This window comes from Homo sapiens, chromosome 3 (assembly GCF_000001405.40).
Source record: "Homo sapiens chromosome 3, GRCh38.p14 Primary Assembly".
Lineage (NCBI taxonomy): Eukaryota > Metazoa > Chordata > Mammalia > Primates > Hominidae > Homo > Homo sapiens.
This window is the reverse complement of record NC_000003.12, coordinates 52172315-52185643: the sequence shown is the minus strand read 5'-3', so window position 1 is coordinate 52185643 and position 13329 is coordinate 52172315. Positions and strand designations below refer to the sequence as shown.

The 13329-nt window shown below is 52.3% G+C and overlaps 1 annotated feature.

The window, feature by feature from the left end:
* Nucleotides 290-1125: an enhancer, noted in NCBI's record as "H3K4me1 hESC enhancer chr3:52218535-52219370 (GRCh37/hg19 assembly coordinates)". NCBI's record gives its function as "activates a minimal SCP1, AML or CMV promoter by ChIP-STARR-seq in naive and primed H9 embryonic stem cells {active_cell/tissue: H9 hESC(naive and primed)}" and the evidence as "EXISTENCE:reporter gene assay evidence [ECO:0000049][PMID:30033119]".

Genomic DNA, 13329 nt, shown 5'->3' with positions numbered 1-13329 from the left:
GGCCAGGGGAAATGGAGCAAGGCCATTTACTAGGGGCCCAGTTGAGCATCTTCAGGAGCCTTCCTTGGGGAGATCTGTAAGTGTCCATGTCCCGACACTCTGCCACTCCACTGCCACCCATGCATACGCAAGCTCCCATGGGCCCTCCCGGGTGTCTATGTCATCCTCTCCAATGGCTCTCCCTAAGCTCACCCTGGGATAGGCCACCTCTGATCTCAGCCTGGTCTGTGGACGGTGTGGTCAGGAGTCAACTGAAGCCCCTTGAAGCTCAGCTGGGGTGGAGGCTGCAGTCAGACCCTCGTTCCCCCTCCTGGTCCCTCTCCCGCTCTCTTCCTTGACCACCACCTCAGAAGATGACCATAGCTGTGCAGCAGAAGGGCTCTCACTCTATATTTGTGTAACAACATCTAGAAAATAGTTTTCCACAGCCTGCCTGTGTCTTAGCAGACAGAAGACTGCTGGCCACTCTGAAGTGACATTTCAAGTTTGGAAGTTCTTAGGGCCTAGTGTCTGGCAGCGTGGTCTGCTGGTCACATTCCTACGTGCACACCCTGAAGGTCTCTCAAATACATGCAGAATCCCAGGCCCACAGCTGCCCAGGGTCACAAACACCCTTTCACACATGGCCACATGGCCAACCACTCTGGTCATAGGGATAGCAGCACCTTGTGACAGTTAGATACATGGTGTAGTCACAGCGTGCCTCGGGGGCTGTGACCTTGTCACAGAGGCACACATGTGCAGCCATGGTGTGCCATGATTGGGACGTCATCATACATAGGGTCACACACACGGGCTGAGCTGTGCAGGGCCGCAGGGTTGCTCTGCTTCACCCCTCACCTCCACCTCCCTACCGCAAGTGCAGCCTGGCTCCCTGGGATCGTGATCCCTTCCCCTGCGCTCATTCCTGATGAAGTCAGGACTATCAAGAGCCCCTGACTGGCCCTCCCTCTGCCTGCCTCCTCTGTGGCCATCCTGCTCAGGTCTGTCCCGATGGCTCTGTACACCCCTGAGAACTATTAAACTGACCAGAGCGTGGACCAGGGAGATCCCAAGGGCATGAGAGCCAAGCTGTGTGACCATAACAGTCATGTCTTGTTTCTGGACCTCAGATTCTCCACCTGTTTTTAAAAAAAATGTTATTGATGTATAATAGTTGTACATATTCTCCATCTGTTAATACAGGCATAGACCTGGTGGTTTCAAGGCTCTTCTGGCACCCGTGATGAGGAAAGCTGTGATTCTGTGGCCCCTCTGGCATTTCCTGGACCTTCGGGCTTCTGAGTCTATTTGAACTTCATGGCCAGGTGCCTCTCACTAATGAAAGGGCCTCCACTGAGATTTCCTTGGGAACAAAGGAGAGCTCAGTTGTTCTTGAGGCCTCAAAGGGGCCCCTGAGGCAGGCCTGATGCCCGGCTGTGTGCAAGGACCAGAGGAGTGGCTGCCCAGCCTGGAGGCAGGTGCTGGCTGGACTGACCTCCTGGGACCCACTTAAGCTTTCTACAAACAACACATCATCTGGGCTGAGTGGGGGGTTCTCGGGGCAAAAAAAAAAAAAAAAGTCTTCTACGGAAGCTGCCTTGTGACTTGGCCCTGAGCTCAGGCAGGGTGGGGACCCTGAGCACCAGAGAGGTCATTGTTCCGTGAAAGCCAAGGCGGCAACCCCTCCCTCTTCCCCTTCTTGTGCTTGGAACCTCCAGACCCCTGGACTCCCAGGGGAGCCCAGGGAGTCAGTGTATGAGGTGCTGAAGCCAAGTCCTTCCAGAGCTTGGGGGAAGGTCAGTTGGTTTATAAATCACCTGAATTTCATCAGGGTCACCATGGGGGAGCTTCATGCATTTTTCAAAGGGCAGTTGTTGGGTGGTCACTCTGTGTTAGGCGCAGTGTAGGAGCCTGGAGAAATAAACCAAAATGTACCTGAAGTAGCATTTTTCAGTGTGGTCTATGTTCATGAAGTGGTCTCTGGAAAAAATATTCCATAGTCAAGTAAGTTAAGAAAGGGTATTATATAATTCACTTGGCCTGAGCAAAGGTGACCTGGTTTCTTTTTCGTGGGATTTGGAGAAGCTTTAAAAGGCAGTGTGTTTAGGCTGGGCTTGGTGGCTCAAGCCTGTAATCCCAGCGCTTTGGGAGGCCGAGGTGGGTGGATCGCCTAAGGTCAGGAGTTCAAGACCAGCCTGGCCAACATGGTGAAACCCATCTCTACTAAAAATACAAAAATTAGCTGAGCATGTGATGGCGGGCGCCTGTAATCCCAGCTACTCAGGAGGCTGAGGCAGGAGAATCGCTTGAACCTGGGAGGCAGAGGTTGCAGTGAGCCAAGATGGCGCTACTGTACTCCAGCCTGGGTGACAGAGCAAGACTCAGTCTCAAAAAAGAGAGAAAAAACAAAAAAAAAGCTGTGTGTTGAGAGAACTTAGGGGGTGTGAGTGCAGGAGCCTCATTTCCCACATGCAGCTGACCACAGAACTCATTCTGCTCATAGCAGCTATCTGGTGGGGTCTGGTGGGGTTGGAGTTCTCCAGGAGCCCTGCAGCAAGGCTGCTGGAGGGGTATAAGCCATCCCTGGAGGGCTCCTGTGACGCCATCTCTGTGCCCTGCCCCTGGTGTCCTGATTTAGCAGGGCGCCTGAGAATCTGCATTTCTGCAAGTTCTCAGGTGCTGCTGTTGGACCACACTTGGAAAACCACTGATCTATCTCAGAGCAGCCAGAGTGATCTTTTAAAAGCTAAGCTGCGTGAAGTTCCTTCTCTGCTCAAAGCACCCCCAGGGCTCACTGTCACTCAAGGTAGAAGCCAAGTTCTTACAGGAGTCCACAAGGCCCACCGACCTCTTTGACATTCACTCACAACTCACTTTTCTGTCCCTTAAACCCACCCTGCAAATCCTCAAGAGCACCTCAGGCCTTTGCTCCCTTCTGCCCATAATGGTCCTGCCCCAGATGTTGGTGGGGCAACCTGTTCCCATCCCCCAATTCCTCCACCCCTACTCTTGTACCCCTGCCTGCCCTGGCAGGGCAGCCTGTTGGTCACATTCATAGATGCACGCCCTGAATATCTCTCAGATACACATAATCTCAGGCCCACAGGTGCCCAGAGTCACAAACACCTAAGCAGCTGGGCTCTCACACAGGAGGACACAGAGGGGGCTTTCTGGTCCCATATACATCTAGCACCTCGGGAAGGGGTTGAGAGGGAGCTGAGGTGTCCAGGCTGGGGCACAGGGGAGTGACTCTGTGGGCAGCTGTGTGCTCTGTCACTGGTTCCATGAACCTTATCAGCGCTGCCCTCATCCTAACCCCGGAGCACTCTGTGTTCTTGATGCATCTGCACAGAGGTCACGGCAGCACAGATGAACTTAGCTCACCCAGCTGCCCACAGTGACCCCGATAAGCTTGCAAGGCATCCTGTGGCAGAAACCAGAAGGTTCTGAGTTGGGCAGGAAATAGGGCCAAGCCTGTCTTCTCCACCCCAACCTCCATTGGCCCTGACCTGGCTTGGGGATGACCCTGGTGGGTAGCTGGGGGGGAAAGGTTTAGCTTAGGCCTGTCTGACTGCCAGATGCATGGGTGTTATGGAGAGGGGATGGGGGAATGTCAGACTTGGCTCTGACCTTCTCCTCTGTTGAGTGGGGAATGGCTGCCTATAATCTTCACTGGGGTCCCTGGGGCCTGTCTGATTCTATGTCCTGACCCCTCTGCCCTGTGGGTGGGTGTGCTGGTGGCATACAGAGTCTGCCACCCCATCGAGCCAAGGCTGTGGGTCTGAGTAGCCTTAGGTGCAGAGGCTGTCTGCGAATTTGCACATGATGTCAGTGGTGGCCTTGCTCAACATTCCCAAGGAATTTTCTGACTAGCAAAGCTTTGATTTTGGCAGCTCTTCTGCCCAGGAAGCTGACGTTATGCCCTGAGCTCAGCTCTGCTGAGCAGGTGAGTGCAGGCTGAGGCCCCTGAGTCCCCTGTCCTGGCCCTCCTGGGTGGATTCCATGGGTGGTCCTTTGCCTCCTGTGCGTGTGTGAGTATGTGGACACATGCAGGGAAAGTCTGCCAGCCTGAGCTCCCTCAGCCTCCCTTAGCCTGCCCTTCTTTTTAAAGCTACCATTTATTGAGAGTTTACCATGTTCTAGGCCTGTGGTTAAATCCTTACAGCAACCCTACGCCCTAGGGTTGTTGTAAAGATATATTCAAATCCTAACATCCAGTACCTGTGAATATGACCTTATTTGGAAATAGGTGCTTTGCAGCTGTTATTAAATTAAAAAGAGTTTTTCCATTTGTTCGTGTCCTCTCCTTTCCTTGAGCAGTGGTTTGTAGTTCTCCTTGAAGAGGTCCTTCACATCCCTTGTTAGCTGTATTCCTAGGTATTTTATTCTCTTTGTAGCAATTGTGAATGGGAGTTCACTCATGATTTGGCTCTCTGTCTATTTTTGGTGTATAGGAATGCTTGTGATTTTTGTACATTGATTTTGTATCCTGAGACTGCTGAAGTTGCTTAAGGAGATTTTGGGCTGAGACGGTGGGGTTTTCTTTTTTTTTTTGAGATGGAGTCTCACTCTGTCACCCAGGCTGGAGTGCAGTGGCGCAATCTCTGCTCACTGCAAGCTCCGCCCTCGGGTTCATGCCATTCTCCTGCTTCAGCCTCCCAAGTAGCTGGGACTATAGGCGCCCGCCACCATGCCCGGCTAATTTTTTTGTATTTTTAGTAGAGACGGGGTTTCACCGTGTTCGCCAGGATGGTCTCAATCTCCTGACCTTGTGATCTGCCCACCTCAGCCTCCCAAAGTGCTGGGATTACAGGCCTTAGCCACCATGCCCTTCGACAGTGGGGTTTTCTAAATATACAATCAGGTCATTTGCAAACAGAGACAATTTGACTTCCTGTCTTCCTATTTGAATACCCTTTATTTCTTTCTCTCACCTGATTGCCCTGGCCAGAACTTCCAATACTGTGTTGAATAGAGGTGGTGAGTGAGAGAGAGCATCTTTGTCTTGTGCTGGTTTTCAAAGGGAATGCTTCCAGCTTTTGCCCATTCAGTATGATATTGGCTGTGGGTTTGTCATAAATAGCTCTTATTATTTTGAGATACCATCAATACCTAGTTTATTGAGAGTTTTTAGCATGAAGGGGTGTTGAATTTTATTGAAGGCCTTTTCTGCATCTGTTGAGATAATCATGTGGTTTTTGTTGTTGGTTCTGTTTATGTGATGGATTACGTTTATTGATTTGCGTATGTTGAACCAGCCTTGCATCCCAGGGATGAAGCCGAGTTGATCGTGGTGGATAAGCTTTTTAATGTGCTGCTGGATTCAGTTTGCCAGTATTTTATTGAGGATTTTTGCATCGATGTTCATCAGGGATATTGGCCTGAAATTTTCTTTTCATCTCACGCCGGTTAGAATGGCGATCATTAAAAAGTCAGGAAAGGACAGATGCTGGAGAGGATGTGGAGAAATAGGAACGCTTTTACACTGGTGATGGGAGTGTAAATTAGTTCAGCCATTGTGGGAGACAATGTGGTGGTTCCTCAAGGACCAAAAATACCATTTGACCCAGCAATCCCATTACCGAGTATAAAGGATTATAAATCAATCTACTATAGGCTGGACGTTGTGGCTCATGCCCGTAATCCCAGCACTTTGGGAGGCTGAGGCGGGTAGATTACTTGAGGTCAAGAGTTTGAGACCAGCCTGGTCAACATGGTGAAACCTCGCTTCTACTAAAAAATACAAAAATTTGGCCGGGCTCAGTGGCTCATGCCTATAATCCCAGCACTTTGGGAGGCGGAGGTGGGCAGATAACCTGAGGTTAGGAGTTGAAGACCAGCCTGACCAACATGGAGAGACCCCATCTCTACTAAAAATACAAAAAAATTAGTCGGGGTGGTGGTGCATGCCTGTAATCCCAGCTACTTGGGAGGCTGAGGCAGGAGACTTGCTTGAATCCAGGAGGCAGAGGTTGCGGTGAGCCGAGATCACGTCATTGCACTCCAACCTGGGCAACAAGAGCAAAACTCCATCTCAAAAAAAAGAAAAAAAACAAAATTAGCTGGGCATGGTGGCGCATGCCTGTAATCCCAGCCACTCGAGAGGCTGAGGCGAGAGAATCGCTTGAGCCCAGAAGGTGGAGGCTACAATGAGCCAAGATTGCACTACTGCACTCCAGCCTGGGTGACAGAGCGAGACCCTATACTGAAAAAAAATAAAAAAAAAAAAAAAGACAGCCATGTGAAGAAGGAGGCAGAGATTGGAGTAATGCTGCCACAATCCAAGGAGCTCCTGGGGCTACCAGAAGCTGGAAGAGTCAAGGAAGGGTCCTCCCCTGGGGCCTTTGGAAGGAGAATGGCTCTGGCAACACCTTGATTTCTGACTTTCAGTCTCCAGAATTGTAAGACAATACATTTCTGTTGTTTCGAGCCACCCAGTTCTTGGAAAATGATACACCTGGCTTCAGTTACAATCTTCATTTCACATGAGGCAACTGCAGCTCAGAGAGTTCAAGATCTTGCCTAGGGTTACACAGCAAGCTAATGTTGCACCTGGGATTAGAGTCTATCTACGCAACTCTAAGCCCATGAGCTCAGCTCACCCCTATGGACCCCCTTGACCTGTCACCCTCTCTCTTGATCCCATCCCCTGACCCTCTACAGCACCCCGCCCTGTAAACCTCAGGGGAGACCCCAAGCCTTCCGTGCTAGCTCCTAAAGACTCCCCCAGGGTCCTGGCTTCCCCAGGCTCCAGCCCCAGCTCCTTCCTGCTCTGCCCCAGTAGGCTTCGGGGGTGCCTCTCACTGTCTCCCTAAACCCCACAGCTGCCTTAGTCCTTGATACTGCTCCCAACTGTGCATTTGGATATTCTGGTGCCTCACAGCCTGGCACTGCCCAGTGCCCCTGCTGCATCTCTGTGCTGTCACCATCTCCCTGGGGCTGGGCCCCCTTCTGCCTGCTGCTCCTCAGGTCTCCAGGCCTGGCAGCCTCCATGCTCCCTCTTTGTTGAGGGTGCTCCAGTGTCACCCCAGCCTCCTCCTTATTGTCCTTGCTGCTCCTTGACACCCTCCCCAATTTATTCTCACACTTTCTTTGTAACCCCTTCCACTCCCCTTGGCCCAATAACCATTAGATCTTCCCAGTGAGACCTGGCAGCTCCCCCTTTCCCCATTCTTTGGCCCCTTGTCATTGGCCCTGTCCCATAGCTCCTGAATTTCTAAACCTTGCTGAGACAGTGGTAACTGGCCACTACCCCTCCCCAAAGAGGAGAACTAACCCCCTGCCAGTGTCATCCCAGTCACACCCCTTTTGGCCCTGGGCTAGTCACCTCTCACACTTAGGGCTTTGCGCAATCTGCCCAGCTCTGCTCCATTTTTTTTTTTTTTTGGGGACAGAGTCTTGCTCTGTCACCCAGGCTGGAGTGCAGTGGCTCGATCTTGGCTCACTACAACCTCCGCCTCCTGGGTTCAAGCAATTCTCCTGCCTCAGCCTCCTGAGTAGCAGGGACTACAGGCATGCAGCACCACACACGGCTAATTTTTTTGTATTTTTAGTAGAGATGGGGTTTCACCACATTGGTCACCCTGGTCTCGAACTCCTGACCTCAAGTGTTCTGACCCCCTCGGCCACCCAAAGTGCTGGGATTACAGGTGTCAGCCACTGCACCTGGCCGCTCTGCTTCTCTTAAAAGCCTCCTGTAGATGTTCCAGCTTCTAGTTTCCCTCTCACAGCTCGACATCCAGCCCTACTCACAATGTTGACTATGCGCCTCACAGGAATGCCCAACTCCCAGCACTTCCCACTGCCTACAGAGCAGAGGCCAAGCTCACCTGTGTGGCATTCGAACCTTCCCTGGTCACTGTCCAGGCTCCTGTGGGCAGCAAGATTCAGACAAGGGAGGGCTGGGTTCTGGTCCTGGTGCTTTCTCCACTGTAGGGCCTTCCTCATCTCCCTGTCCCTACCCCCACCACTCTTTTTTTTTTGAGGCAGGGTCTCGCTCTCTTACCCAGGCTGGAATGCAGTGATGCAAACATAACTCTAACCTTGAACTCCTGGGCTCAAGCGATCCTGCTGCCTCAGCCCCCACCACACTTTGACTCTTGGCCTCTACTCTAGCCCAAGGGCAGGAACTCCCCAAAGTGGGTGCAGATCCACGGCTCAGATCTTGAGCCAGCCGGGTTCCGGGAGGGAAAAAAGGCAAGGCCAGAGCTTGGCTGATGTCATGCCAATCTTTCCCAAACCAGCAGAGGCTTGTGCAAGGAGAGGTCACTGGAGTCCCTGCGTCCAGGTGGCATGACGGGGCACAGCGCATACACATAAACATGGACACACGGTGGAGAGGCTTGTGTTGACTTTGCGCCTGGGCCCCTCCCACTCACCATTTTTTTGTCGGACAAAAAAAATGTGTCACCATTGATTTGTCAGACAAATCTGGGTGACACAAGCCTGACTTCCAGCTGCCAGTACTGGAGACCCTGTGCCTGAGGGCTTTCTTTGCCCAGGGGGCCTTGAGGCCTGTGTGTAGGGCAGACAGGAAATGCCAGGTCTCAACCAGGGCTGCTAAGAATGGGTGGAAAAACCTCTCGACTCCCTCATGCCTCAGCTGGGGTGACCCTGGCATGTTCTGCAGCCTGTCCCACAGCTCTCCAGCAGGATTGAGCCCGGCTCTCCCACAGAAGTCACTTGCTTCATAACGCCCCCTCCGGTTGTTGCCTAGAATCACCTCCCAGATAAATGAATTACAATTATTCTTGAATCCTTTCCCAGGGTTGGCTTCTAGAGGAACCCAAACCAAGATACACAGGCGCAGGATCATGCACAGAGTCTCACATAGGCACACACACATGAACCACACACAGCACTCAGAGACATAGCCATGCACACACAGATTCAGAGATGCACATACAGATACAGTCAAACACACCCACACGTGTGCACACAGAGGCGCAGCCATGGACACACAGACACAGCTGTACCCCCACTCGCATACCTGTGCATGCACACAGACACTCACATACACAGACATGCACGCCCTTTCAGCCATGCATGCAGACACAGGTGCACACGCCCTCATCCATCACATATGATAAAGAGGGCAGCAGAGTGAACTGACAGGACCCTCCCTCCAGGACAACAGGGATCCTCAGCTGGATTAAGATCTGGCTCCTGTAGCCACAGTGGAGGAGGAGCTGGCCTGGGGGAGGCTGAGCAGCCAGAGCCCTGGAGTGGGGTTGTGGGATCCAGAGGAGAGGCAGCATATGGGAGGTCAGGATATCTGAACCAACGTTGGGGGCAGGATTTTTCAAAAAGATCCCAGACACAGGAGCCTCCCAGGTAGAGGGAACAGCTTAGAGCAGGTAATGGGCTGGAAAGGTCTGGCCCATGGGGTGATCCTGGTGGGGCGGGGTGCAAGGCGAGGCTGAAGAGGTGGTGGGGCAGGCAGGCAATGGAGAGTCTGACCTCATCCCAGGAGCATGGGGAACCATAGAGGGGCTTTGCGTGAGGGAGCACACAGTGATCCCCAGGGAGGCTGACAAGTACAATCACCCCACATCTGTCCGAGTCCATTTTGTGCTCGTCCAGGACCAGAAGACAAGGCCCCTCCTCTCTGGGGATCAGTCTCGCCCCTGCACAGGGTGGCTGCTCTGGCACTGAGTGTGTGAGTGACTTGTGGGGGTTAGGCTTACCTGAGACCCAAGGATGACTCATCAGAGGGGGCCTTTGTCACCTGAATGACCCCCTCGTTTCCTTGCAGCTGAGCTGGGTTGTGGGGAGCAGGACAGTCCCTGAGAGGTAAGGGAGCTGATGGGCAGGAGGCAGCGGAAGTGAGTCTGCACCAGACGGGCCTGCTACTGCCTGTCTCAGCCCCAAAAAGCTGTGCATCTCTTCTGTCCCACACTTGCCCTTCCACGGTCTGGGGCACCCACGTCACTGTGGAATACCTGCTTGTCTTTCAATACCCCCTCAACACACCAAATGCTTTCTCCTCCTCTTCTCAGAAACCCCTGATCCTGCCACCCGAGGGGCACCCCTGGTGCTGGGCTTGAACCCCCGTGAGGACACTCCCTGAGCTCAACCTGCTTGGTGGTCCTTTTCCTCTCTGGCTTCCTTGGAGCAAGGACTCTGGTGCTAGTCACCTGCTTCTCCCGCTGAGGCAGGCTCAGGGGCTGGTATACACCTGCCACTCCATTAGAGCCTGGTGACCCCACCACAGGCCCCGGCACACAGCTGGCATTCCCCGAACACTTGTGGAATTGAATCCCCTGTTCTTCACCCTACAGAAAGTCCCTGAGTGGAAGCATCGCTGGAGATGGTGGGAGGGATTCCCTGGTGCACTCAGGCTCACTGGTTTTGGGGATTGATTCATCAGACAAATCTGAGTGATCTTTCTTCGTGCCAGGCCAGGGCCAAGTGTTCCACATTCACCGGTGACCAGCAGGGTGTGGTCCCTGCTTTCAGGGAGCTCATAGTCATAGGGGAAATGAATGATAAACTCACAACATGTCAGGAGTGAGGAGCAGAGAGGCATGAGAGGGTGCTGGGGCGGGGTCAGAGGATGCGACTCTGAGGTGACGTTCAGGCTGAGGCCTGAAATATCATGAGCCAGCAGAATGATGACACGGCGGATGAGCAGCCCAAGCAGAGGGAATAGCTGTGCAAAGGCCCTGAGGAGGGCCTGAGCTTGGCTTGTGGGAGGGCAGTGAGGAGGCCAGTGTGCCATGATGAGGAAGGGGAGGCGAAGGAGGCCTCCAGGCGCTTCCTCCAGGGAGGCCCCTAACCACATCCATTCATTGAAACCAGAAGGGCTCCAGCAAGCTGGGGTCAGAGTTGGGACTTGTCTAGTCTTGTGTCCCTGGCCAGGGCATCATAGCCAGGTGACAGTCCCCTTGCTCCTTGAGGGCAAGGCAGAGCTGTTTTTTTCACTGAAGGGACATGTTACAAATACAGACTCCTGGCCCCACCCATACCCACCAAATCAGACTCTGACAGGCCTGGCAATGGGCATTTATACCAGCTCTTCCCTAGATTCTGGAAACCCTGTGCTCAAAGCCCCCTATGGGCCTGGACCTGACTGGCTTGCCCCATTTAATGACCAGCTGTGACCCTGCTTCTCAAACTCATGGAGAGGAGGACATGAAACCATAAAAGCATAAATAGTGCATGTTCCTGAGTATCAGCCTAACTTGGAGTTAACTAGTCCATCATTAAAACATTAATTTGATATTAAAAAGAGGCTGTTGTGCCTGGTGCAATGGCATATACCTGTAGTCCCAGATAACTTGGGAGGGTGAGGCAGGAGGATCACTTGAGCCCAGGAGTTTGAGGCTGTAGTGTGCTATGATCACGCCTGTGAATAGCCACTGTACTCCAGCCTGGACAACACAGTGAGACCTTTTCTCTTAAAAAAAAAAAAAAAGACGCAGCTGCACTATGAAATAGATGCTAAACTTACTTATTGTTTAAGATGGACTACAAGACAGGCCGGGCATGGTGGCTCACGCCTGTAATCCCAGCACTTTGGGAGGCCGAGGCTGGCGGATCACTAGTTCAAGACCAGCCTGGCCAACATGGTGAAACCCCGTCTCTACCAAAAATACAAAAACAACAACAACAACAACAACAAAAAAAAAACAATTAGCAGGTGTAGTGGCATGGACCTGTAATCCCTACTACTTGGGAGGCTGAGGCAGGAGAATTGCTTGAACCCAGGATGCGGAGGTTGCAGTGAGCCAAGATCGCACCAATGCACTCCAGCCTGGGTGACAGAGTGAGACCTTGCCACACACACACAAAAAAAAGATGAAAGATGAAATATGAGACAATAAAGGATTTTCTGGTATGGGTTTGGCTACTTTGGGACAGTTTTGGCCCCCATCTCTGCTGTTGGGGTGAAAATCTTGAGGCCCTCTTAAGTTCCTCTGGGGCTTGAACTATTTCAGAGTTTTTAGTCCTTCTTCATGGATGCATTAGGATTAATGGTTCAGGTTTGCAGACAGACAGGCTTGGTTTTAATCCTGGCTTCTCACTTACTAACTCTGTGCCTCAGTTTCTCCATCAGTAAAATGCACTGCTCCTTGTTGTGGGTTGTGGTTAAGACTCATGTGGCCTTTGGTATAGGGTGACTCTGCAGTAGGTGAAAGTTGTCAGTTATTTTCTTTCTGGCACTGTTCTGGGCTGGTTCACAGCACAATTCAGGGCTCAATGGAAGAGGGAAATCCCATGATCTGGCCTCTTGGGCATCTGGCCCCATCTTCTCTCCCCAAATGCTCTGAGGACAGCTCTGTGGCCTGCATCCTTCTGTTTTGCCTCAGGTCCCTGGGGTTGGGTTGTCTCCAAAACTCCCTCAGCTAGGCAGTGGGGCACAGGGACAAAGGGTTGCCACAGCTACTGTGGACTGGGCCTCATGCCCCCCCATGGCCTCACTGGGAGACTGAAGTCTGAGAGGCTCAGTGACTTGCCCACAGCCACAGAGCCGGTCTATAGTCTAGAACTGCACTGGCCATACAGTAGCCACTAGCCACATATAGCACAGGAATTAATTAAAATTCAATAAAATTTAAAATTCAGTTCCTCACTCACACTAGCCACATTTCAAGTGTTCAGTAATCACATGTGACCAGTGGCTACCATTATGGATAACCCAGATAGATAGAATATTTCCATCCTCCCAGAAAACTCTTGTGGTCAATGCTGGTCTAGAAGCAGCAGTTCTCAGCCTTGGGTACCCACTGGACTCACCTGGGGAGCTTTTATAAAATGCGAGTGTCTGAGCTCCACCTGCAGGGGTTCTGAACAGCAGCTGGGGCTGAGAACCGCTGCTCTGAAGCTCTGTCTGCATGATCTACTGGAAAGGTTCTTAGTGTTGAGTTCAGACCTCATAGGAGTGTTTGCGCCTCGCTGTCAGCCCATGTGTGCAAGGCCAAGGTGGGGGCCTTCGATATTGTGGGATCTTTTGCCCCAGCTCCTTCTCCTCTCCTTGGATGATGTGAAACAGAGGCCTGGCATCTCTCAAAGGGGTATTCTGCAGTAGTGGAGGAGGGGCATGGGTCATGCTCATTGGGTGTGGGTAGAAGAACTCAGCACACAGAGGCTTCCCTATCTGACTTGAGTGGATGGGGTGAGTGTGGCTACTGGCCAGCTATGTGTTCTCACACTGCTTGGAAACTGGTCCCAGGGACCCATGGGTCCATTGAATCACTGTCTCCAGGAATCGCATGGCAGCGCCAGTCATGCCATCCACTGCCTGCAATGTGGGAGGACAGGTCCAAGCTGGATGCTTATGCAGGGGGACTTCCTGTCTCCACCAGTGTGAGCTTTGCCAGAGTAGCCCCTGCGATTGGATGGAGG